At 37.8% G+C, this 22251-nt stretch overlaps 1 long non-coding RNA gene and 1 pseudogene across 3 annotated transcripts in view; one reads left to right on the top strand and one right to left on the bottom strand.

Moving 5' to 3' along the window:
• PABPC1P8 (poly(A) binding protein cytoplasmic 1 pseudogene 8) lies at positions 8319-10032 on the top strand (annotated as a pseudogene).
• Positions 10033-12718: 2686 nt separating this feature from the next.
• LOC101929373 (uncharacterized) overlaps positions 12719-22251 on the bottom strand; it is a 34331-nt gene continuing 24798 nt past the window's right edge. Inside the window, exon 3 of one of the 3 annotated variants that reach the window (XR_001747434.2) lies at positions 12719-12948. This is a non-coding gene — a long non-coding RNA (uncharacterized LOC101929373). Of the gene's footprint in view, positions 12949-17592; positions 17765-22251 lie in introns of those variants that run through there. The other 2 variants (XR_001747433.2, XR_001747436.2) reach the window with 2 other exon arrangements.

Genomic DNA, 22251 nt, shown 5'->3' with positions numbered 1-22251 from the left:
ATAAATGTGATATACACATTAACAGAATGAAGGACGACAACTATATGAATATCTCCATGGATGCAGAGAAAGCATTTGACAAAATTCAACATCTTTCTGTAATAAAAACTTTCAACAAATTAGGTATCAATGTCCACATAACACAATAAAGGCATATGTGATAGGCCCACAGCTAACATCATACTCAATGGTAAAAAGTTGAAAGCTTTTTCTCTAAGATCAGAAACAAGATGGATGCCCATTTTCACCACTTCTATTCAAGTTCTAGCAATTAGTCAAGAAGAAGAAATAAAGGCATTAAAGTCAGAAAGGAAGAAGTGAAATTGTCTCTGCAGACACCATGATCTTAAATGTAGAAAACCCTAAAGAGTCCACCAAAAAAAAACTGTTGGAACTAGTAAATTAATTCAGTAAAGTTGCAGGATGCAAAATCAACATAAAAAAACGACTAGCATCTGTATACACTAACAATGAACTATCTGAAAAAGAAATCAAGAAAACAATTTCATTTATAATGGCTACACAAATACTTAGGAATTAATTTAACCAAGGAGGTGAAAGACCTGTACACTGAAAACTATAAAACATTGGTGAAAGAAATTGAAGAAGACACAAATAAATGGAAACATATCCCATCTTCATGGATTAGAAGAATTCATACTGTTAAAATGTTCTTAGTACCAAAAGTGATCTACAGATTCAATGTAATCTCTATCAAAATTCCAATGATATTTTTTACATAAACAGAAAAAAATCCCCAAATTCATGTGAAACCACAAAAAACCCCAAATAGCAAATTGTGAGCCAAAAGAACAAAGTAGGAGGCATCACATTATCCAGTTTCAAAATATACTATGATGATATAGTAATCAAAAATATAACATGATACTGGCATACAAACAGACTGGTAGACCAATGGAATAGAATAGAGAGCCTCAAAATACATTCACGTTTATGGCCAATTGATTTTCAGTAAATATGCCAAGAATACACAATGGGGAAAGGACAATCTTCAATAAATGGTGTTGGGAGAACTCCACATGCAGAGAAATGAAATTAGACCCTTATCTCACACCATATACAAAAAAATAACACAAATGGACTAAAGACTTAAATATAAAACCTGAAACCATAAAACTACTAGAAGAGAACATACAGGAAAAGCTCCATGAGACTGGTCTGGGCAATGATTTTCTGGATATGACCCCCAAAGCACAGGCAACAAAAGCAAAAATAGACAAAAGGGATTATATCAAACTAATAAGCTGTGCAAGCAAAGGGAGCAATCAATAGAGTAAAGAGATAGCCTACAAAAAGGGAGAAAATATTTGCAAACCATACATCTGATAAAGGATTAATATCCAGAATATATAAAGTATTCATACAACTCAACAGCATGAAAACATATAACCTGATTAATGAAAGGGAGGCAAAGTACCTGAATAAACATTTTTCCAAAGAAGACATACAAATGGCCAACAGGAATATGAAAAAATAACCAACATCACCAGTCATCATGGAAACGCACATCAAAACCACAATGAGACGTCCCTTTTAGAATGGCTACTATGAAAAAAACAAAAGATAGCATGTGTTGGCGAGGATGTGGAGAAAAGGGAGCCTTTGTATACTGTTGGTGGGAATGTAAATTAGTACAGCCATTATGAAAAGTAATATAGAGGTTTCTCAGAAAGTTAAAAATAAAACTACCATATGATCCAGCAATCCTAGTACTATTTATATACCCAAAGAAAATGATTCAGTATGTCAAAGAAAAATCTGTACCTCATGTTCATTGCAACATTATTCACAATAGACAAGATATGAAATCAACCTAAGTATCCTTTAACAGATGAATGATTAAAGAAAATGTGGTGTATATATACATAATGAAATATTGTTCAGCCTTAAAGAAGGAAATCCTGTCCTTTATAATAACATGGATGAAACTGGAGGACATTATATTAAGTGAAATAAGCCAGGCAGAGAGAGATAAATGCCATGTAATCTCACTTATATGTGGAATCTAAAAAAGTCAAACACATAGAAGCAGAAAATAGAATAATGGTTATTAGGGGCGGGGGGAGGAGGGTAGAACTGGGGAGATTTTGGTCAAAGGATACAAAAATTAAGCAGGAAGAACAAGTTCAAGAGACCTATTGTACAACATGGTGACTACAGTTAATAACAATGTATTGCATACTTGAAAATTGCTAGGACAGTAGATTTTAAGTGTTCTCACCACAAAAGAAATGATAAGTATGTGAGGTAACACATGTATTAATTAGCTTGAGTTAGCCATTTCACACTGTATCCATATTTCAAAACATCAGGTTGTACACTCCAAATATATACAATTTTTGTTTGTATATTTAAAAAGTTTTAATATTTAAAAATTCAACTCAAAAATAAATTCTTGGCCAGGCACAGTGGCTCACACCTGTAATCTCAGCACTTTGGGAGGCCAAGGCAGTGGATCATGAGGTCAGGAGATCGAGACCATTCTGGCTAACATGGTGAAACCCCGTCTCTACTAAAAAAATACAAAAAAAATTAGCCGGGCGTGGTGGCGGGCACCTGTAGTCCCAGCTACTCGGGAGGCTGAGGCAGGAGAATGGCATGAACCCAGGAGGCAGAGCTTATAGTGAGCCGAGATCACGCCACTGTACTCCAGCCTGGTGACAGAGCAAGACTCTGTCTCAAAAAATAAAAAAATTAAAAAATTTCAGTTGGCAGAACTTTGCACTACGCACCTTGTCATTCACTTTGCATGGAAAGAGAAGAGACTCATAGTAAGAATGTACTGACTCATGGTCAAATGGCTTGGCTACAGGTCAGGGGGATGGAAGGAGAAAATTTGGATGACTGGAGAAAAAGACATCTGAGAAAAGGGCATATGGGTGGACTTATGGGGATGTACAAAAAGTATGAAGATCTTTGTTTCACATGTTAACACCTACAAGAGGTATCTATCAACAACCAAGGAGAAAAGCGACTCAGCCAGATGATGTTAGCCATCCTCTTCCATTGGCCAGCTCAGTACTGGTGAATAAATATAGTGACAAGGATGGAGGCTATGCAGAGGCCCAAACAGCAGAAGTCTCCACTGTCTAAGTCTTATCTAGCTACTGCTGCTTCTGAATGTCAAAGTTGTCATCAAGACAGAGCAACACTGAGGCCTCAAGATAGCATCATCCCTCAAGGACACCAAGTTGCCACCTGGTGGCAAGCTGAATGCACTGGATTCTTTCCATCACAGGAAGGGTAATGATTCATCTTGGCTGGAACTGATACTTATTCTGAGTATGGATTTATCTTTCCTACTTACATGGCCTCAACCAGCACCACTATCCAAGGGTTGACAGAATGTTTAATCCTCCAGTATGGAATCCTACACATCCTTGCATTGTACTTTATAGCACTGTATAAAGGGAATGCACTTTGTAGCACTGTAGTTGCAGTGGTGGACACATGAAAATGCAATTCAGTGATCCTATTACAAATCACGAAATCACAACAACTAGAAGCTGTCAAACTGATGGAGTGATGGAACAGTCTCCAGTAGCCCTTTGAAGCTGCAGGGATGGGATACAAGCATATATCCTAGATCAGTAACCATTATATGGTCCCATGTCGCTAATAGAAAGAGGACCATGGATTGAAGAAAGAGTAGCACTATTTACCGTCACCCCCAGGGATTCACTTAGGAAATTTCTGCTTCTTATCTCTGCAATTCAATGCTGTTACACAACGGAAGCAGACAGGAATGTGTTTGGCAGCCAAGGGATGTTTAAGTAGTCCCTTACTAAATTTTGATTGCTCAATTTAAAAGGACAAGTCTAGTAGCCATGGCTACTACACCCTCCTCTCCTATCTCCAGGTAAGTGACCTAGACCAGTGGAGGTGCTAGCTGAGGGTAAGAATGTAAACCTGATAGTACCTGTATCGTAGGAAAGGCAGATGATCACTTTTATCACTGATAAAAGACAAGTTGAAGAGCCAAGGAGCTATTGTTCCCTCCATGAATGTTACTTTCACATTTCCCCAGCAAAAGAAACCAACCAAAATCCTGGAGGAGCTATTCCTAGATGGAGAGAAGTTATATGAAGTCATGGATCCAAATGACACGAGGGATGGACAGAGTAGTGTCTTCTGTGGTGTGTAGTCCAGGCCTCCCTGCAGAATGGAGACCCTCATTCCCCAGCTTCCTTAGAGTGCTGTCTGTTGAGGGCACATGACTAAGTTCATGCCCTAGGAATTGCCCTCAGGCCAAAAGGAACTGTGTAGTAGAAGTCACATCCTTGGGGCAAGAAATTAGTTTGAATTCATATTGATTGTTGTCAACAAAATTTTAAGTACTGTATGGTATGTGCGTGAAAGGAAAAGAACATTTGAAATGAGCTAATGTAGAGCGGATCTGTTGGAGAACTATTGGTGAATAATGATGATGTGGTCAGTGAGGGTCACTGAAGTTCACAGGGTTATTTGAACAGAAAACATCTGGGAGAGGTGGATTTGACACTCAGATTAGGGGACTGCACAAATAATAAGGTATCTGGGCTTCAGTTTTCTCATCTAGAACATGAGGGACTAAATGACTGCCAAGTATCTTCCAGCTTCTATATTCTGTAATGCTTAAGTACTCTGCAGAATATTAAAATGAACAGCACTGGGAGATAGTCCATGGGCTTGAAAAGTGAGGAAAAACAGAAACTGCCAGGGAGAGTTTGTTAAAACCTTAAAAACCTGTGCACGGCTGTTTATAACAGTTGTATTCATAACTGCCAAAACTTGGAAGCAACCAAGATATCCTTCAGTAGGTTAATGGCTATGCAAACTGTGGTACATCCAGACAAGGGAATATTATACAGCACTAAAAAGAAATCAGATATTAAGCTAAGAAAAGACATGGAGAAGACTTAAATGTATATTGCTAAGTAAAAGAAGCCAGCATAAGAAGGCTATATATTGTATGGTTCTAAGTGTATGACAATCTGGAAAAGGCAATACTATAATGTAGAAACATCAGTGGTTTTCAGCAATTTGCAGAAAGTAAGAGAGGGATACATAGGTGGAACACAGAGGATTTTTATGGTGATGAAACTATTCTATATGATACTGGTGGATATCTGTCATTATACAGTTGTCAAAATTCACAGAACTTTACAACACAAAGAGTGAACGCTAATGTAAACTATGGACTTCAGTTATAGTAATGTATCAATATGTATCAATTGTAACCAATATACCACATTAATACATGGTGTTAATAATAGGGGAAATTGTGTACAGAGGTAGGGATTGGGTGGAGAGTGGGATAGGAAGGTAGTGTTACATGGGAACTCTGTGTACTTTCTGCTCATTGGTTTCTGTAAACCTAAAATTGCTCTAAAAAACAAAGTCTACTAATTTTGAGAAATTTGATGAAGAATAAATATTCATGTAGTACCAAGGTATAATCTCAGACATCACTGGCTAATTAAAGAGGAAAATATACCATTAACGATATAGACATCTGGCAATCACCACCTTAATTTAGGAATGAAAATTAACATCACTGGCAGTGGGACAACCAGACATAAACTTCGTAATGTGCCACTATTGGAAGTATACAACATCACCTTTGAATGATTCTGGCCAAAAAAGTTTAACCTGAATGTAACCAAGTCTTTAAATTTAACTTCAAATTTCAGAAAATTGAGGGGATAGACAAACAAACTAAATGAAACCATGAACAGTCCCACAATTCCAGAATGTGAGATATTCTACGTGACAACTAGCATGGTTCCTTTAAAATGTCAATACCGGCTGGGCACGGTGGCTCGCACCTGTAATCCCAGCACTTTGGGAGGCTGAGGAGGGTGGATCATGAGGTCAGGAGATCAAGACCATCCTGGCTAACATGGTGAAACCCTGTCTCTAGTAAAAATACAAAAAATTATCTGGCCGTGGTGGCAGGGGCCTGTAATCCCAGCTACTCAGGAGGGTGAGGCAAGAGTATCTCTTGAACCCAGGAGGCAGAGGTTGCAGTGAGCCAAGATCATTCCACTGCACTCCAGCCCGGTGACAAAGCAAGACTCCGTCTCAAAAAAAAAAAAGTCTATGCCATTTAGCAAGGGATTAAGTATGGAGAAATGTACTGGATTACAAAATAAGAGACAAAAACAAAATGTAGTGTCCAGTTCTCGATTGGATCATGGCTTTTAAAAATTGCTATAATTGGAAAACAATTAAGAAAATGTGAATCATAGGGTGTAATTATGCAAACCTAGATGGTATATATACGTATATTTTTGAGACAGAGTCTCACTGTGTCACCCAGGCTGGAGTGCTGGTGCGATCTCAGCTCACTGCAACCTCAGCCTCCCAGGTTCAAGCAATTCTCATGCCTCGGCCTCCTGAGTAGCTGGGATTACAGGCACCTGCCACTGCGCCCGGCTAATTATATTTTCAGTAGAGACGGGGTTTCACCATGTTGGCCAGGCTGGTCTCAAACTCCTGACCTCAGATGATCTGCCCACCTTGGCCTCCCAAAGCACTGGGATTACAGGCATGAACCACTACATCCGGCCCTATATATTTTCACTTATTTATTTTTTATAAGGAAAATCAAATGTTCCAGCACCACTACTGAGCATTAGTCATTTCCTCTACTTGAGCTGCAATGCCAATATCAAGGGCCATAAACTGTTTATCAAGTTTCTATATATGTTCCAGTTTAATCTTATGAGACCACCACAGTGTAGATGGTCGACTAGTTGACTGAAATGTGTTACATGGGGCATGACTGTTTATATTTGAAAATATTTGGGAGTTGAATAATTGTAAGGAATTACTGATAACTTGGTGTGAAAGGATAAGGGAATTGTGGTTATGCAAGAAAATGGCTTTAGTTTTTGAATATGCAGGCTCAAGTATACACAGGCAAATTAGCATGATGCCTATAATTTACTTTTAATTCAAATTGAAAAATTACATAAAGAAAACTTGACAAAATATTAACAATTAATTGGATTTAGGTGGTGGTTATGTGGGTGCCCATTTTTTCTACCTTTCTGTAGGCTCCAATGTTTCATAATTAAAAGGGAAATAACGGGGCCACAAGAGAAGGTACAATTAAACATTAATGGGTCCCTTCTCCCAAGCGGTTAGTGCCGAGAGTGTGGAGTGTGTTCTCCAGGATCAGCACATATTTATTATCTTGGAAAACCCATTCCCCTGAAAAAAACCCATGAAAAAACTTAAAAAAAAAAAGGTTTCTATTTTAACACCCATCACCCCTGCAAAACACTGTACAAAAAAATCCTTGTCTTCACTGCCAGAGACATTTTCCTTTTCTTCTTGTATAAGATTACCCGTGAGGCAGCCGAGAGCGACCCACCCGCCCACTCGCAGCTCCGAAGCAGCTTCAAGAAGGAACAGGATCCCGAGGCCTGGACGCTGGACCCTACACCGCCACCCTCGTCCCAGCCCGCTGCAGGCCGCAGTTCCTCGGCCGTGGAGTAGTTTTAGATTCCAGGTGATTTTGTCTCTCTGCCCTGGCCCAGGCTTCCGCCCCAGCCCTTACTCTCCTTTCACGGAAAGGTCGCAGCCTGTGGCCCTACCGGCAGACAGGTGAAGAGGTGAGCCCAGCGTCCCAGCCATCCCCTGTCCTCGCACCCCACGTGACCAGGCCTGCTGGCTGGTCCTCTCTATCCCGGGCTACAGGAACCAGATCACCGGCGCTCCTTGGGAAACGCAGGATGTGGAATGTCCTTAAGACCCCATGAATTTTGATGTTATAAAAGACTAGCCAATACACACTAAGTAGTCTCGGTGTGATCCATCACTCCGCAAAAATGGAGTGGGCAACATGTTCATAAAAAAATTGGACAAATCTATTGATTATAAAGCATTCCATGATACATCTGCTTTTGGTAACATCTTTTTGTTGCAGAAAAAACCAGGTTCTTGTCATACCACCAGGAAAAGGCACGCAAACACTTGAAGGGTGAGGGGGAACGGAGTTTATTGGATGGAAAGGAAAAAGGAAAAATAACTCTTAGCAAAGAGAGAAAGAGTCCTGCTAGCGGGTTTCCCGCCTCATAGATTAAATCCTAGGTCACTACATGGGAACAGGCCAGACTCCTCTCCACTGCACACTGCACAAACTTCCCGAGGCTCCACCCCGTAATCCCAGTGCGCAGGTGGGCATTATTCAGAATCAGTGAGGAAAGGGCGGCTTCAACCCGGACCTGCAGTCCAGTTTATCAGCCTTCAGGCTGTTTTAGTCTTGAAGGTGGGGTTTTACCAGGGGACCCTTGGCTGCCTCCTGTCTCCATCACTTTCACATTAGGTGCTTTGTGGTGAAAACGGTTTCAAGGGTGATGGCACTGTACATTTTGAGACACAGAAGCAGCTGAAAGATCTATTCAAAAATGAAATGGATGCTTCTAAATGATAGCAAAGTCTTTGTTGGATTAAGTCTTGTAAACAATGAGAAGCAGAACTCAGAGTTAAAGAGTTCACCAATGTTTACAGGAAGATTTTTGGAGAAGACATGGATGGTAGGTGCCTTAAAGATCTCTTTGGCAAGTTGGGATCTGTCTTAAGTGTGATAGTAGTGGTTAATGAAAGTGGAAAACCCAAAGGTTTTGGATTTGTCAGCTTTGAAAGGCATAAAGATGCGCAGATGAGATGAACAGAAAGAAGCTCAATGGAAAACAAATTGATGTTGGTCAAGCTCAGAAAGAAGTAGAATGGCAGATGGAACTTGTGTGCAAATTTGAAAAGATCAAGCAGTATAGGATCACCAGATAACAAAGTGTTAACATTTATGCAAAAAATCATGATGGTATTGATGAATGTCTCTGGAAAGAACTTTCTCCACTTGGTACAATCACCAATGCAAAGGTTATGAAGGATGGTTGTCACAACAAAGGGTTTGATTTGTGTATGTTTCTCCTCTCCAGAGGAAGCAACTAAAGCACTTTCAGAAATGAATGGTAGAATTGTGGGCACTGAGCCATTGTATATAGTGTTAACTCCATGGGAAGAAAAGCAATGAAGAGCACCAGGCTCAGCTCATTAACCAGTACACTATGTGCAAAGAATGGCAAGTGTAAAAACTATGCTCAACCTGGGAATCAGTCCCTATCAGCCAGCACCTTCTTCAATTGACTTCATGGCAGTTATCCCACAGACTGAGAGCCATGCTGCAAAGTATTCTCCTAGCCAAACTGCTCAACTAAGATCAAATCCTCCCTAAATTGCTCAGGGTGCCAGACCTCATCCATTGAAAAATATGCCCAAGCCACTCCTAGCTCACTACATTTAGTAGTAAGAGACCAGCTTCTTCACAGCTTCCACGAGTCATGTCAACACAGCTGTTGTAACACATCGACACAGACAATAGGAGCACATCCTGCAGTTGCCGCTACTGCTACTACAGATACTCCTGCTGTTTGTACCATTTCACAGTATAAATATGCTATGGAAGCTCACAATCCTCAATGATATTTTCATGCACAGCCCCAGGTTACCATGCAGCAGCCTGCTGTTCATGTAGAAGGTCAAGAACCTTTGACTTCCATGATGGCATCTGCTCCTCCTCAAAAGCAAAAGGAAACGAGTGAATGGCTGTTTCCTCTTCTTCAAGCCATGCCCTAGTCGTGCTGGTAAAATCATTGGCATGTTGTTGGAGATTGGTAATTTAGAACTCCTTCATATGCTTGAATCTCCAGAGCCTCTCTATACTAAGGTTGACAAAGGTATAGCTGTACTACAAGAGCACCAAGCTAAAGAGGCTGCCCAGAAAGCAGTTAATGGTGCCACTGGTGTTCCAATTGTTTAAAACTGATCAGGGACCACAGAAAGAAACTTGAGCATCACTGAAGAAAAATATCTCAATATCAAAAACCTTAAATACTATGGAAAAAATTTGTAAACTATAAAATAAATTTAAAAAGGAAACTTTGAACTTTACATACCAAGAAAATGTCAGATCTAACAAATGCAATGATAGTCCTAGATTACTTATTGATTTGAAAAGAAAAAATCCTCCCAAAATAATAAAATATAAAAACACTGTAATGCTTTTCAGACTCTGTGATAAATAATTTTCAGCAAAGTATAAAAATTTAAAGCATTCCTTTAATTTTGTAATTCATTAGTGTGGAATAGCTAATAATGTCACTTCTGTTTTAAGTAACAGAATTGATAACTGAGCAAGGAAAGGTAATTTGGATTATAAAATTTTGCTTTAATAAAAATTCCTTAAACAGTGAAAAAAATAGGCAAAGATACAAAAAAAGTTTATAAGAAACAACAATCTTGTATTTATTTTATTTTATTTTATTTTATTTTATTTTATTTTATTTTATTTTATTTTATTTTATTTTTTTAAGATGGAGTCTCGCTCTGTCACCCAGGCTGGAGTGCAGTGGCATGATCTTGGCTCACTGCAACCTCTGCCTCCCAGGTTCAAGTGATTCTCCTGCCTCAGCCTCCCGAGTAGCCGGGACTACAGGCACCTGCCACCATGTCTGGCTAGTTTTTTGTATTTTTAGTAGAGACAGGGTTTCACCATGTTAGCCAGGATGGTCTCCTTCTCCTGACCTCCTGATCCACCCGCCTTGGCCTCCCAAAGTGCTGGGATGGTGTGAGCCACTGTGCCCAGCCTTATTTGTTTAAATACTATAAACACTAATATCATACACATGGTTAACTGGTTGTAATTTTTAAATTATATTAATAAATTTTTATAAAAACATTTTATAAATAAAAAACTTAAAATTTCAAATAAATAACAACATCTGCCACACTACCTTAAAACGGCGACTATTTCAGTATAATAAACATATATCACAGACACTTAGAGAAAGTTCTATAAATAAAGAATAAAAAGAATAGGTAGAACAATTTTCCTCCTAATCAAAAACACAATTCCTCATTTTGAAAATCATTTCTTATCTCTCTTTTATTAAAATAAACTTTCTACTTTGAAATCTAATCCTCTTGTGAATGTAAATTACTATCTTGTAAATATATATATTTTATTATTATTTTCTTTTGAGACAGAGTCTTGCTCTGTCTCCCAGGCTGGAGTGCAGTGGTGCGATCTCAGCTCACTGCAACCTCTGCCTCCTGGGTTCAAGCGATTCTCCTGCCTCAGCCTTCTGAGTAGCTGGGATTACAGGTGCGTGCCACCACACCTGACAAATTTTTGTATTTTTAGTAGAGACGGGGTTTCACTATGTTAGTCAGGTTGGTCTCGAACTCCTGACCTCGTGTTCTGCCCGCATTGGCCTCCCAAAGTGCTGGGATTACAGGCATGAGCCACAACAGCCTGCCTATATTTTTATTTTTTTATAAGTGACAATGAGATATCCTCATGATTTAAATAGTAGTCAAAACACTGGCACAGTTTAAATTTTTAGAATTTGAGTACTAGAATTACAATATTTGAAAATGGAGTCTGTACTTTGTTGTAAAACTATAAAGAGAAAATATCACTAAAACAGTAGCTATTTTATCTTTTCCCAGAGTTATTCTCCCAGAGTGTATTTTCTAAGAGTTATTTCCCAGATGGTTTTAGAACTTTTGGCAGTTTCGGTGATATATTCTATAAAAGCCCTTAGTCTTAATAGGAATAACACATAGTTTTGATTGCCTTAAATTTTAATTGCTTCACTTGGCAAATTTGTGTGTGAATTTCATATTCTGTGGCATTTTAATATCTTGCTTGTGGAGAAGAGGAAAAAGAGGAATGAAAGTAATATTCAGTCCTTGCATTGAGCTTTTGCCAAAGAAGTCTAAACAATTTCTAAAATGCCTTTCAATAAGGCCATTTTAGAAGTGCTTATATAACTCTTATAACTTTAAAATAAAGAGTCTTGAAGTTAATTAAAACTCACTTTGCTTGTGATGGGTTCTACATTAACATGGCAGATTTAATCAGCCAGAATTAAAAGATAATTCTATATTACTAAGGAGAAGAAACTGCCACATGACAGTAGTCTCCAAATCTTTCATTTTTGGAGGCTGCCTTTTATGCCTAGATTTTAAAACACTAATTGAAAAAAATATAGTTTACTTCCATTTGTGATTTAATTTTATTTCTATAAATAAATATATAGATAGTGTTTCATCTAAAAACTGCTAAACCAGACTTTCATTTTAAGGGCATGGCAGAAATAAGGAAAGACTAACTTGGTTCTATTACTTAACATATTATTTATTCAGGTAGTCACCAAAACCAGAATTTAAAATCTATTCAGTTAACCCATTTAAAGTTGATGTGTTTTACTCCTTTTTTTTTTGTAGTGATCTTTTTAACGGAATTACTGGATATCATGGGGAGTTCTACTCCTCCTATTTGGAAACTTAGGCTATCTTACCAAGTTCAATATTCAAAGTTTTTCTTTCTGCCATTAAGTTTGTTTAATTTTATATTAAGCTCAGTTTGTATTATGATATCAAATTCAGCCTGAGGGATTACTTAAACTTTCCTAGGGTATTTACAGATTTAATTTGTTCTTACAGTATGTAAATACCAAGAGAGCATTCCATTTAATATTATTTTTATTAAATTAACTTTGGAGTAAAAAGTCCAAGAAAAGCCCTGTACTGAAATCACATGTTTACTAAATCCTGGATTTTCTGTGCAGTTCCTACATATTTCTACTTTAAAATTCTTCAGTCATGTGAAATAATTCATTAAAAGAAGCAGGCAGATGATGACAGGTAAACTTTTTAATGATGTTCTAATGTTGACAATTGCAGTTTTATTTTGCTTGGATCATAATGGTGTGTAAGCATTTTAGGCCCCAGAATGCCCATAAGTAGAGCTCCATTTGGAGCTGTGATCGAGATGGCTAAAAATGCTACTGTCATCACATCCTTCGCATATGGTTCCAAGTGGGGTGCGGAGACTCTTGCTGTTTCTAGAGCCAGAGGACCTAGCACAGCCTACATTTAGGGATAAAAATGGGGCATAAAGAAAAATATTACTGAGTTAATATATAATGTAAATGGCCCTGTTAAAATAAACAAAATCTAGTACTAGACTATTAGAAAAAAAAAAGTACTCAGTAATTATCATAAGTTACTCATCAGTTCCATGTTCTTCCTAGCAAATATATGTGGAGGAAGAGTACAATAGTGACAAATCAGCATGCAAACATTTTTGGGCTGATTTTGCACTCTTGTCCTCTCAGTGTTCCTCTATTCAAATATCTCTTTTGAGTGTTGCCCTCATAACACCAGGAGTTCTAACAAAACCAGTTTTGCTTAGTTGCCTTTATCGTGTACCAGTAGTTTTTGACTACAAGAAGACCAAATAAAATATTAAGTTTTCTTATGGTTCTCTAGGATGTGTTGCCCTTCTTCTCATTGTTCTCCTTATTCAGGGGGCACTGGGTTATAGCAGAACTGACAGCAGGTTTGGAATCTAGCAAACTGGGTTTGAATTCTATTTTTGCTGCAACCAGGCTAGTGACCTTGTACAAATGACTCACACTCTCTAAACTTCTACTTACTTACGTGTAAAACGAAGAACAAAATACTTATCTTACTGGACGGTTGTGAAAATTAAATATGAGAATGTGAAGAATACCTGGCACACAGTAGGTATTCAGATAGTAGTAAGTTTCTTTCTCCTTCACTCCTCATCCCCTGCCAGGTCAGAGAATGAGTTCCTTTGAAGTTTTTTTTTAGAATGACTACTGGGTCACAAGATTTTTCCCTAGTTACCTTCTACCATATTATTTTTAATAACATAAAGCAAATTTCTTGTAACTATCTTTCCTTGTGTTTAATAACTAGGCCTGAAATTGCCTTAAAATTTGGGGGAATTAAATACCAACATATAACATATTTTCTATGGAGTTGTGAAGTAACAACATAATAGTAGAAACATTACCTCTGATATGGAACATTATGGCAAGAGAACCCCTCAATTTAAGATCAATTTCTATATCCTAAATCAATAATTTAAAATGGTATTATTTTTATATCATAACTTTTAATGTACTGAACATGATCCAGTGTGCTGGAGGATGCTAGGGAGAAAAAAAATAATCATGCAGAAAACCACGTTGAAAGAATCTCACAGTTTAGAAGAGGATTTGAACATAAAAGAACTGCCAACAGAAAAAACAAAAACAAAAGCCAAACCCACTGACTTTTAAGAGATGATGACGATAATGGTGAAACTAGAAATAATATTTTTATAGTTATATGGCATTCATCATATGTCAGGTATCATTCTTAAAGCTTTCCATTTATCAATTCATTTAATTCTTATGACAACCTTATTATGTGAGGACTTTTATTAGATGATAAATGATTTCCTCCTAGTGACTGAGATTTAATACTATTTCTTTAAAAAAATCCAGTTGCCAAGCTGATCTTACATTTGTAAACTAAATTATTTATTTACTCTCCTAATAGCTTCTATTTTTCCTGTCTAACTTTTATCAGTAACTCGAAACTAAGGAACAAGAGAAAGCTGAACCTTAGCCAATTTTATTTTAGCAGCAGAGAATGGCGGAAGAGGATAAAGGTGAAAATAATTTAAAATTGAAATTTAAATATTTGTTGATCGTATTTACTTGTGACATTATTGTTATCTATTATTGCTGTTGTGACTCTACTTGTATAAATAATTAATTTTTTATGTCTTGCCAGTTCCTGGGACCAGCTTGATATTCTTTGTGTAGAAGCCAGCCTGGAGCCAGCCGACAGGAATAGGCAGAAGCAGAATAATACTGCAGGGCTCGAGTGAGTGGTCTCTTTCCTCATACCTGCTTTTCTTTTTTCCCTGCTTTATGAAAATTATGAAATAATGAAACAAAATTGCAAGAGTATTGTTGGAAGGAGAGAGAACAGATACTCCTTTTGTAGATTTATTATTCCCTACAGTAGACATTAAAAATAAAAAGTTATTATTTATATTACTTGAAGGTAAGATAAAATAACAACATTGTTTGTTAACTGAGCACCACCATATGCCAGAGAGAGTGCTAAGGCACTTTACGTGGATTATCTCCTTGAATCCTGACAATACTGCTAAGAAACAGATACAGTCATAGACTTCATTGCAAGACGAGAACACTGAAGGACTGAGAGACTAGAAAATAATTTTCCTGAGGTTATAGGCAAGTAACATGGTATTCAAAACAGGTAGTCTGGCCCTATGAGCCTGCTTTTCTAACATGATAATAGAGGTTTTTTGCATGAAAATTTAGGAGCTTCTGTTTTGGAATAACAACTAAGAAAAGAGCCACAGGAAATTAAGGTATATTATGCTGCCAAGTTAAACAGTCTAACAAGAAGTAGCAATATATTTTAGTAGGAGGAGAATCTCCTTGAATAACAGGGCAAAATTACAAGGTTTCCCTTTCCGTTCATTCATCCTTGCAGGCATGCAATACGTATTTGCCTCCTGCATGTCAGGCACTGTGTTAAGTGCCAGGGAGAAATAATGAAAAACAACTGCAACGACTAGACACTGTCCCTGTCCTTACGTAGTCTATCAAGGGGGCGGGGGCAGGGATTTAGCCATTAACCAAATAGTATACAAATAAATGTGTAATTAAAAAAATATATGCACATTTGTGTGATGGAGTGAGTGGCAAGGTAGGAAAAGTATTTTTTAAAAAATCAATGTGTCTCTATTTTACTTTACTTTTTTTTGCGACAGGGTCTCACTTTGTCACCCAAGCTGGAGTGAAGTGGCGTGACCTCAGCTCACTGCAGCCTCAACCTCCCGAGTTCAAGCTATTCTCCTGCCTCAGTCCCCAAGTAGCTGTGACTACAGGTGCGTGCCACCACACCTGACTAATTTTTTTGTATTTTTTTTGTAGAGACAGGGGTTTTACCATGTTGCCCAGGCTGGTCTTGAACTCCTGAGGTCAAGTGATCTGCCTGCCTCAGCCTCCCGAAGTGCGAGGATTACAGGCATGAGCCACCATGCCTGGCCTGTGTCTCTACTTTTTAAAATCATAACATTTAGCTTTGTTATATTCAGCAAAATATAAAAACTCCAATTTTCAGATATATTCTTATTATATATTTTAGGAAAATAAAAAACATATTTTCATAAACTTAGAAAGTACTTATTGAAAGAATACTTTTTGATTTCAAAATAATTGCTTTTAAAACTGAGATTTCAAAAGGTTACGTTGGCTGTGCCCAGTGGGTTATGCCTGTAATCCCAGAACTTTAGGAGGCTGAGGCAGGAAGATCACTTGAACCTAGGAGTTCAAGATCAGCCTGGGCAACATAGCAAGACCTCCTCTTTACAAAAAAATCAGAAAGAAAAGGCCAGGCACAGTGGCTCATGCCTGTAATCCCAGCACTTTGGGAGGCTGAGGCGGGCAGATCACTTGAGGTCAGGAGTTTGAGACTAGCCTGGCCAACATGGTGAGACCCCATATCTACCAAAAATACAAAAATTAGCTGGGTGTGGTGGTGTGCACCTGTAATCCCAGCTACTGAGGAGGCTGAGGCAGGAGAATCGCTTGAACCTGGGAGGTGGAGGTTGCATTGAGCTGAGATCATGCCACTGCACTCCAGCCTGGGCAACAGAGTAAGACTGTCTCAAAAAAAAAAAAAAAAAACTGAAAAAAAGCAGTTGGGTGTGGTGGCAGGTGACTGTGATCCTAGCTACTCAGGAGGTTGATGTGAGAGGATTGTTTGAGCCCAGGTGGTTGAGGCTGCAGTGAGCCGTGATCATGCCACTGCACTCCAGTTTGGGTGACAGAGTGAGACCTGGTCTCAAAATGAAAATAAAAATAAAAATAGAAAAAGGTTACATTGAGTTTCTTTGTTTGTTTTTGTTTATTTATTTATTTTTTTTTTGAGATTGAGTGTTGCTCTGTCGCCCAGACAGACATTATCTATTATATATGTTTGACCCTTTGATATTATGTCTTTAAATGTTATATTACATGTCTAAAATTTTGATTTTCTTTCTCACCATACATTTTAGCAGACTTACTACCAAGTAACAAAATTTCCAATTAGTAACGTTTCATCTTCTGCCACATCTCTGATACTAGTATCAGTAAAATAGTTAAAATATTACTTTAAGTGAAGAAGAAAAGAGACCCATAAAATCTCCAGTTTCATATAACATATCCAATGAATTCTTAAAAAATATTTGAATATCTCTTTGGTCAATATGTTACAGCTAAATTTGGATGGAAATTACAGAAATACAAAAGTAATGGCATGTTTTCCTTTAAGGCAGGAAATGGCTAAGTTTGAGTGTTGCCTTTGTCAAAGGATAGCAGGAGTGAATTTCAGTCAGAAAATATGCAGAAATAAATGGGAACCTATCTCCCCCTAAAATGTTTAAGGGAAAATTTGGGGGAAATTATCAAACCTCAATAGGCAATTTAGTAGAGAAAGGGAAAGTATAATTGAGAGGGATACTCTGAATTAAGTATATTTTTTGACATTCCTTATTTGCCAAATCAGGAAGCAGAGACTTTAATCAAAGCCATTGACCTGTATCAATCACCACTGTGCTCAGTTTTAAATACAGAGTAGGCATTGGAGGCTAGTTTTAGAAAAATAGAGTTAAGTATTAAATTTCATGGATCTTACCAAAGTTTAATATTTTGAAAAAAAAGTCTAATACTATACTTCTATAAGATAGATTTTGTATTTAACTGGTCTTCACTTGGAAAATATCGAACAAAAAATCCCAAAACAATTCCTGCCAGCCGACTAATACATATGTTCCTTATAGAGGCTATGGCGTTATTAAGCATACCACCTGTAGGGGCACACAATAAAAAAAAATTCACAAAGAAATATTTTCACATACACTACACATCAGAAAAGCAAATCTAGGTGGTTCATGAAGAAAAGTAAGCATTTTATAGAACAAATATATGCAAATGGTCTTTTTATAGTGACATGTATGAAAACACGTAGATCTATTTAGTACATTAAATATATACTCTCAAATAATTTAATATATACACACAACTCAGAAATGTCCATTATATAAATAGGCCAGAAAACAAAGACTTAAGCACAAGATGCTCCCCTTACATAGCCAATTTAAAAGACAGAGTGAGGTAGTCCGGGCACAGTGGTTCATGTCTGTAATCCTAGCGCTTTGGGAGGCCGAGGAGGGTGAATTACTTGAGGTCAGGAGTTCAAGACCAGCCTGGCCAACATAATGAAGCCCCATCTCTACTAAAAATACAAAAATTTTGTGGGCATGGTGGCACACAACTGTGGTCCCAGGTACTCAGGAGGCTGAGGGAGGAGAATCACTTGAACCTGGGAGGCAGAGGTTGCAGTGAGCTGAGATCGTGCCACCACACTCCAGCCTGGGTGAAAGATGGAGGCTACACCTCGAAAAGAAAAAAAAGACCAAGTGAGGTACAAGAATGGAGAGAGACCGAAACACTTGTGGCACTTAGCATATGGCTGGTAAGGGCTATATTAACAATTCTTCTTTGATGTACTATATGAAAAAGAAACAAATGATTTTAACATGAAAAGAACAATGTAATAACAACATAAAAAATTTTGTTCCAGGGTCAGTCCTAGAAACATTCAAGGGTCATTTAAGATTTCAGTATATTTAAGTTTCTGCTTTTGGTGAAGAAAAAAGGAAAAAAAATACAAAAGATTCCAGTATATTTTATATTAATTAATATTAATATATCCATACTTGTAGTTCATTGTAATAAGTAAAAAGCAAAAAATAAAAAAAACCAGAATGAGTCACAAAAATAGTTCAGTTAAGCTCTGGGTAGTGGATTCAATATAGTACGTAAGTATATTTTTAGATATATTTTCTACTAAATATAACAGGCAGCGCATGGTGGGCTCACACCTTTAATCCTAGCACTTTGGGAGGCCAAGGCAGAAAGATTGCTTGAGCCCAAGATTTGAGACCAATTTGGGCAACAGAGTGAAACCCCATCTTCACAAGAAAATAGGAAATTAGCCCGGTATGTGGTGTGTACCTATAGTCCAAGTACTCAGTAGCCTGAGGGAGGAGGTCCCTTGAGCTCAGGAGTTCGAGGCTGCACTCTAGCCTGGCTGACAGAGCAAGATCCTGTCTCAAGAAAATAAAATATAATAAAAATAAAAAATTATATAAACAGAGTGATGCCAGCCAGATGGTGGAATGGCTCCAAACCTTGATTCTCCATAAAGATAGCAACTGAAAAACAATATATGGTCTAAAAGCCTTTATGGAGTTCCATAAACCATTAAGAAATTGTAGTAGCACAGACAAGTGCAAAACCAAGAATAGTGGCATTGAACAAATAAGAAAAGCTGTTGCATTATACTCATGATACCCCTTCCCCAAGCTCGAACAGGTTGGTTTGGCTGGGAAGCACTCAACTTGCAGCTTCTCCGTTAGCAGAGAAAGAGAAGACTGGAACGGAATAGTTTTATGAGGTTACCTGAAGCTCTCCCTCTCTCTCTAACTTGACGCCCAACTGGCATACTTTGGATTCATGGGAGCCACTGGGAATAAAGGAGAGGTCAGAGATGATGCAGCACCAGGGAACCTGCAGTACCACAGACAGATACCAGAGGGAGCAACAGCTCCAGAAAAAGAAACTGGCAAACCTCTACTTGGGATGTTGCAATGTATAAACCCAAACAAGATGCATTCCCAGAAAAAGTTTGAGAGGCTGCTGGAACCTATAGCCATGCTGATTCAGGTATGAAGGTCTTCCGTATGAAGCCAGCTGATAAAAACTGGGAGAAGTGGCAGTTTTTTCAAACGCCCAAATCTTGGCAAAAATAAATAAAAAAATAAAAAATAACAAGACATAAGAAGAAACAGAGAAACCTGATGACTAAATTAAAGGAGCAAAATAAATCTACAGAAACCAACCCTAAAGAAATAGATAAATGAGTTACCTGACAAAGAATCCAAATTAACTCTCTTAATGAAGCCCAGTGACAACAGAAATAGACAACTAAGTGAAAGCAGGAAATAATTCATGAAGAAAATGAAAATATTAATGGAGATAGAAACTAAAAAAAAAAAAAAGGAACCATACAGAAACTCTGGAGCTAAGGAATACAATAGCTCAATTGAAAAATTCACTATTGGAAATCACCAATAGACTGTGTAACTGCCCAGTGGTTTCACCTCGTGCCCTGCTTAGACAGAGCTGATTTATCAAGACAGGGGAACTGCAATGGAGAAAGAGTAATTCAGGCAGAGCCAGCTGTGCGGGAGATCAGAGTTTTATTATTACTCAAATCAGTCTCCCTGAGCATTCGGGGATCAGAACTTTTAAAGATAATTTGGCAGGTAGGGGCTTGGAAAGTGGGGACTGCCTATTCATCAGGTTGGAGATGAAATCATACAGGGTTGAAATGATGTTTTCTTGCTGTCTTCTGTTTGTGGGTGGGGTGGCAGAACTAGTTGAGCCATATTACCAGTCTGGGTGGTGTCAGCTGATTCATCCAGTGCAGGGTCCGCAAAATATCTCAAGCACTGATTTTAGGTTTTACAATAGTGATGTTATCCCCAGGAGCAATTTGGAGAGGTTCAGACTCTTGGAGCCAGAGGCTGCATAACCCCTCAACTGTAATTTCTGATGTTATAGCTAATTTGTTTATCCTGCAAAGGCAGACTGGTTCCAGGCAAGAAGGGGATCTTTTTGGGAAATGGCTATTATCAACTTTGTTTCAGAGTCAAACCATGAACTGAATACCTTCCCAAAATTAGTTCATCCTACTGCCAGGAATGAACAAGGACAGTTTAAATGCTAGAAGCAAGATGGAGTTGATTAAGTCTGATGTCTTTTGCTGTCATAATTTCTTCAGTTATAATTTTTGCAAAGGCAGTTTCAATAACATCAAGCAGAAGAAAGAATCAGTGAAACGGAAGACTAGTCATTTGAAATTATGGAGTCAGAAGAGCAAAAGGGAAAAGGAGTGAAGAGTGAAGACAGCCTAAGAGACTTACAGGATGCCATCAAGCAGACCAATGTATGCATTATGAAAGTGCCCGGAGGAGAGAAAAATAAAGGGGCAGAGAGCCAGTTAAAAAAATAATGACCAAAAACTTCTCAAACTTAAAGAAGGAAATGGACATACAAATCCAAGAGGCTCAAAGAACTCCAAGTTGGATAATTTGCAAAAGACCTACAATGAGACACATTACAATCAAACTGTCAAAAGTCAAAGACAAAGAGAGAATTTTGAAAGGAACAGGACCAAAGCAACTTGTCACATACAAGGGAGATGCCATATGGTTATCAATGGAATTATCAGCAAAAACTCTACAGACCAGAAGAGAATGGGATGATATATTAAAAGGGCTGAAAGAAAAAAAAAACTGTCAACAAGAACTGTATAGCCAGTAAAACTCTACTTCAAAAATGAAGGACAAACGAAGAGTTCCCCAGAGAAGTAAAAGGTGAGGGAGTTGATCACCACTAGACCTACCTTACAAAAAATGTTAAAGGGAGTCCTCCAAGTGGAAATGAAAAGGCATTGGATAGAAATACAAAAGCATACAAAATATAAACTTCTTTGGTAAAGGTAAATATATGAGTGAACATAGAATCTTTTAATACTCTAATGGTGGTAAGCAAAACACTTTTTTTCCTTTACTTTTTTTTTTTTTTGAGACGAAGTCTTGCTCTGTTGCCCAGGCTGGAGTGCAGTGGTTTGATCATGGCTCACTGCAGCCTTGTAGTCCTGGGCTAAAGCAATCCTCCCACCTCAGCCTCCCGAGTGGCTGGGACTACAGACATGCACCACCACACTCAGATAATATTTTTAAATTTTTAGCAGACATAAGGCCTTGCTGGTCTCAAACTCCTAGGCTCAAGCGATCCTCCCATTTTGGCCTGTCAAAGTGCTGGGTCTACAGGTGGGAGACACCACACCCAGCCTGTAATTCACTTTTAATTGATGCATAGAATTTAAAAGTTGAAAGCATAATATTACTGTATTAAATTATGTGAATAAACAATATAAAATATATAGTGTGACATTGATAACAAAGTGAGAAGGAGGTGTAAAGAAGTAGAGTTTTTGTATGTGATTAAAGTTAAGTTGTTGTCAATTTAAAATAGATTATTATAACTATAAGATGTTTTCATGTAATTCTACAGTAACCACAAAGAAAAGACCTACAGAAGTTACACAAATAAAAATGAGAAAGGAACCAAAGCACGTCCCTACCAAAAAAAGGAATCAGTGAAACATAAAGGGAGGCAGAAAGAGAGGAAAAGTGGAAAAAAATACCTGCAAGACATGTAT

This window comes from Homo sapiens, chromosome 10 (assembly GCF_000001405.40).
Source record: "Homo sapiens chromosome 10, GRCh38.p14 Primary Assembly".
Classification (NCBI taxonomy): Eukaryota; Metazoa; Chordata; class Mammalia; order Primates; family Hominidae; genus Homo; species Homo sapiens.
This window is presented reverse-complemented; position numbering and strand designations above follow the sequence as displayed.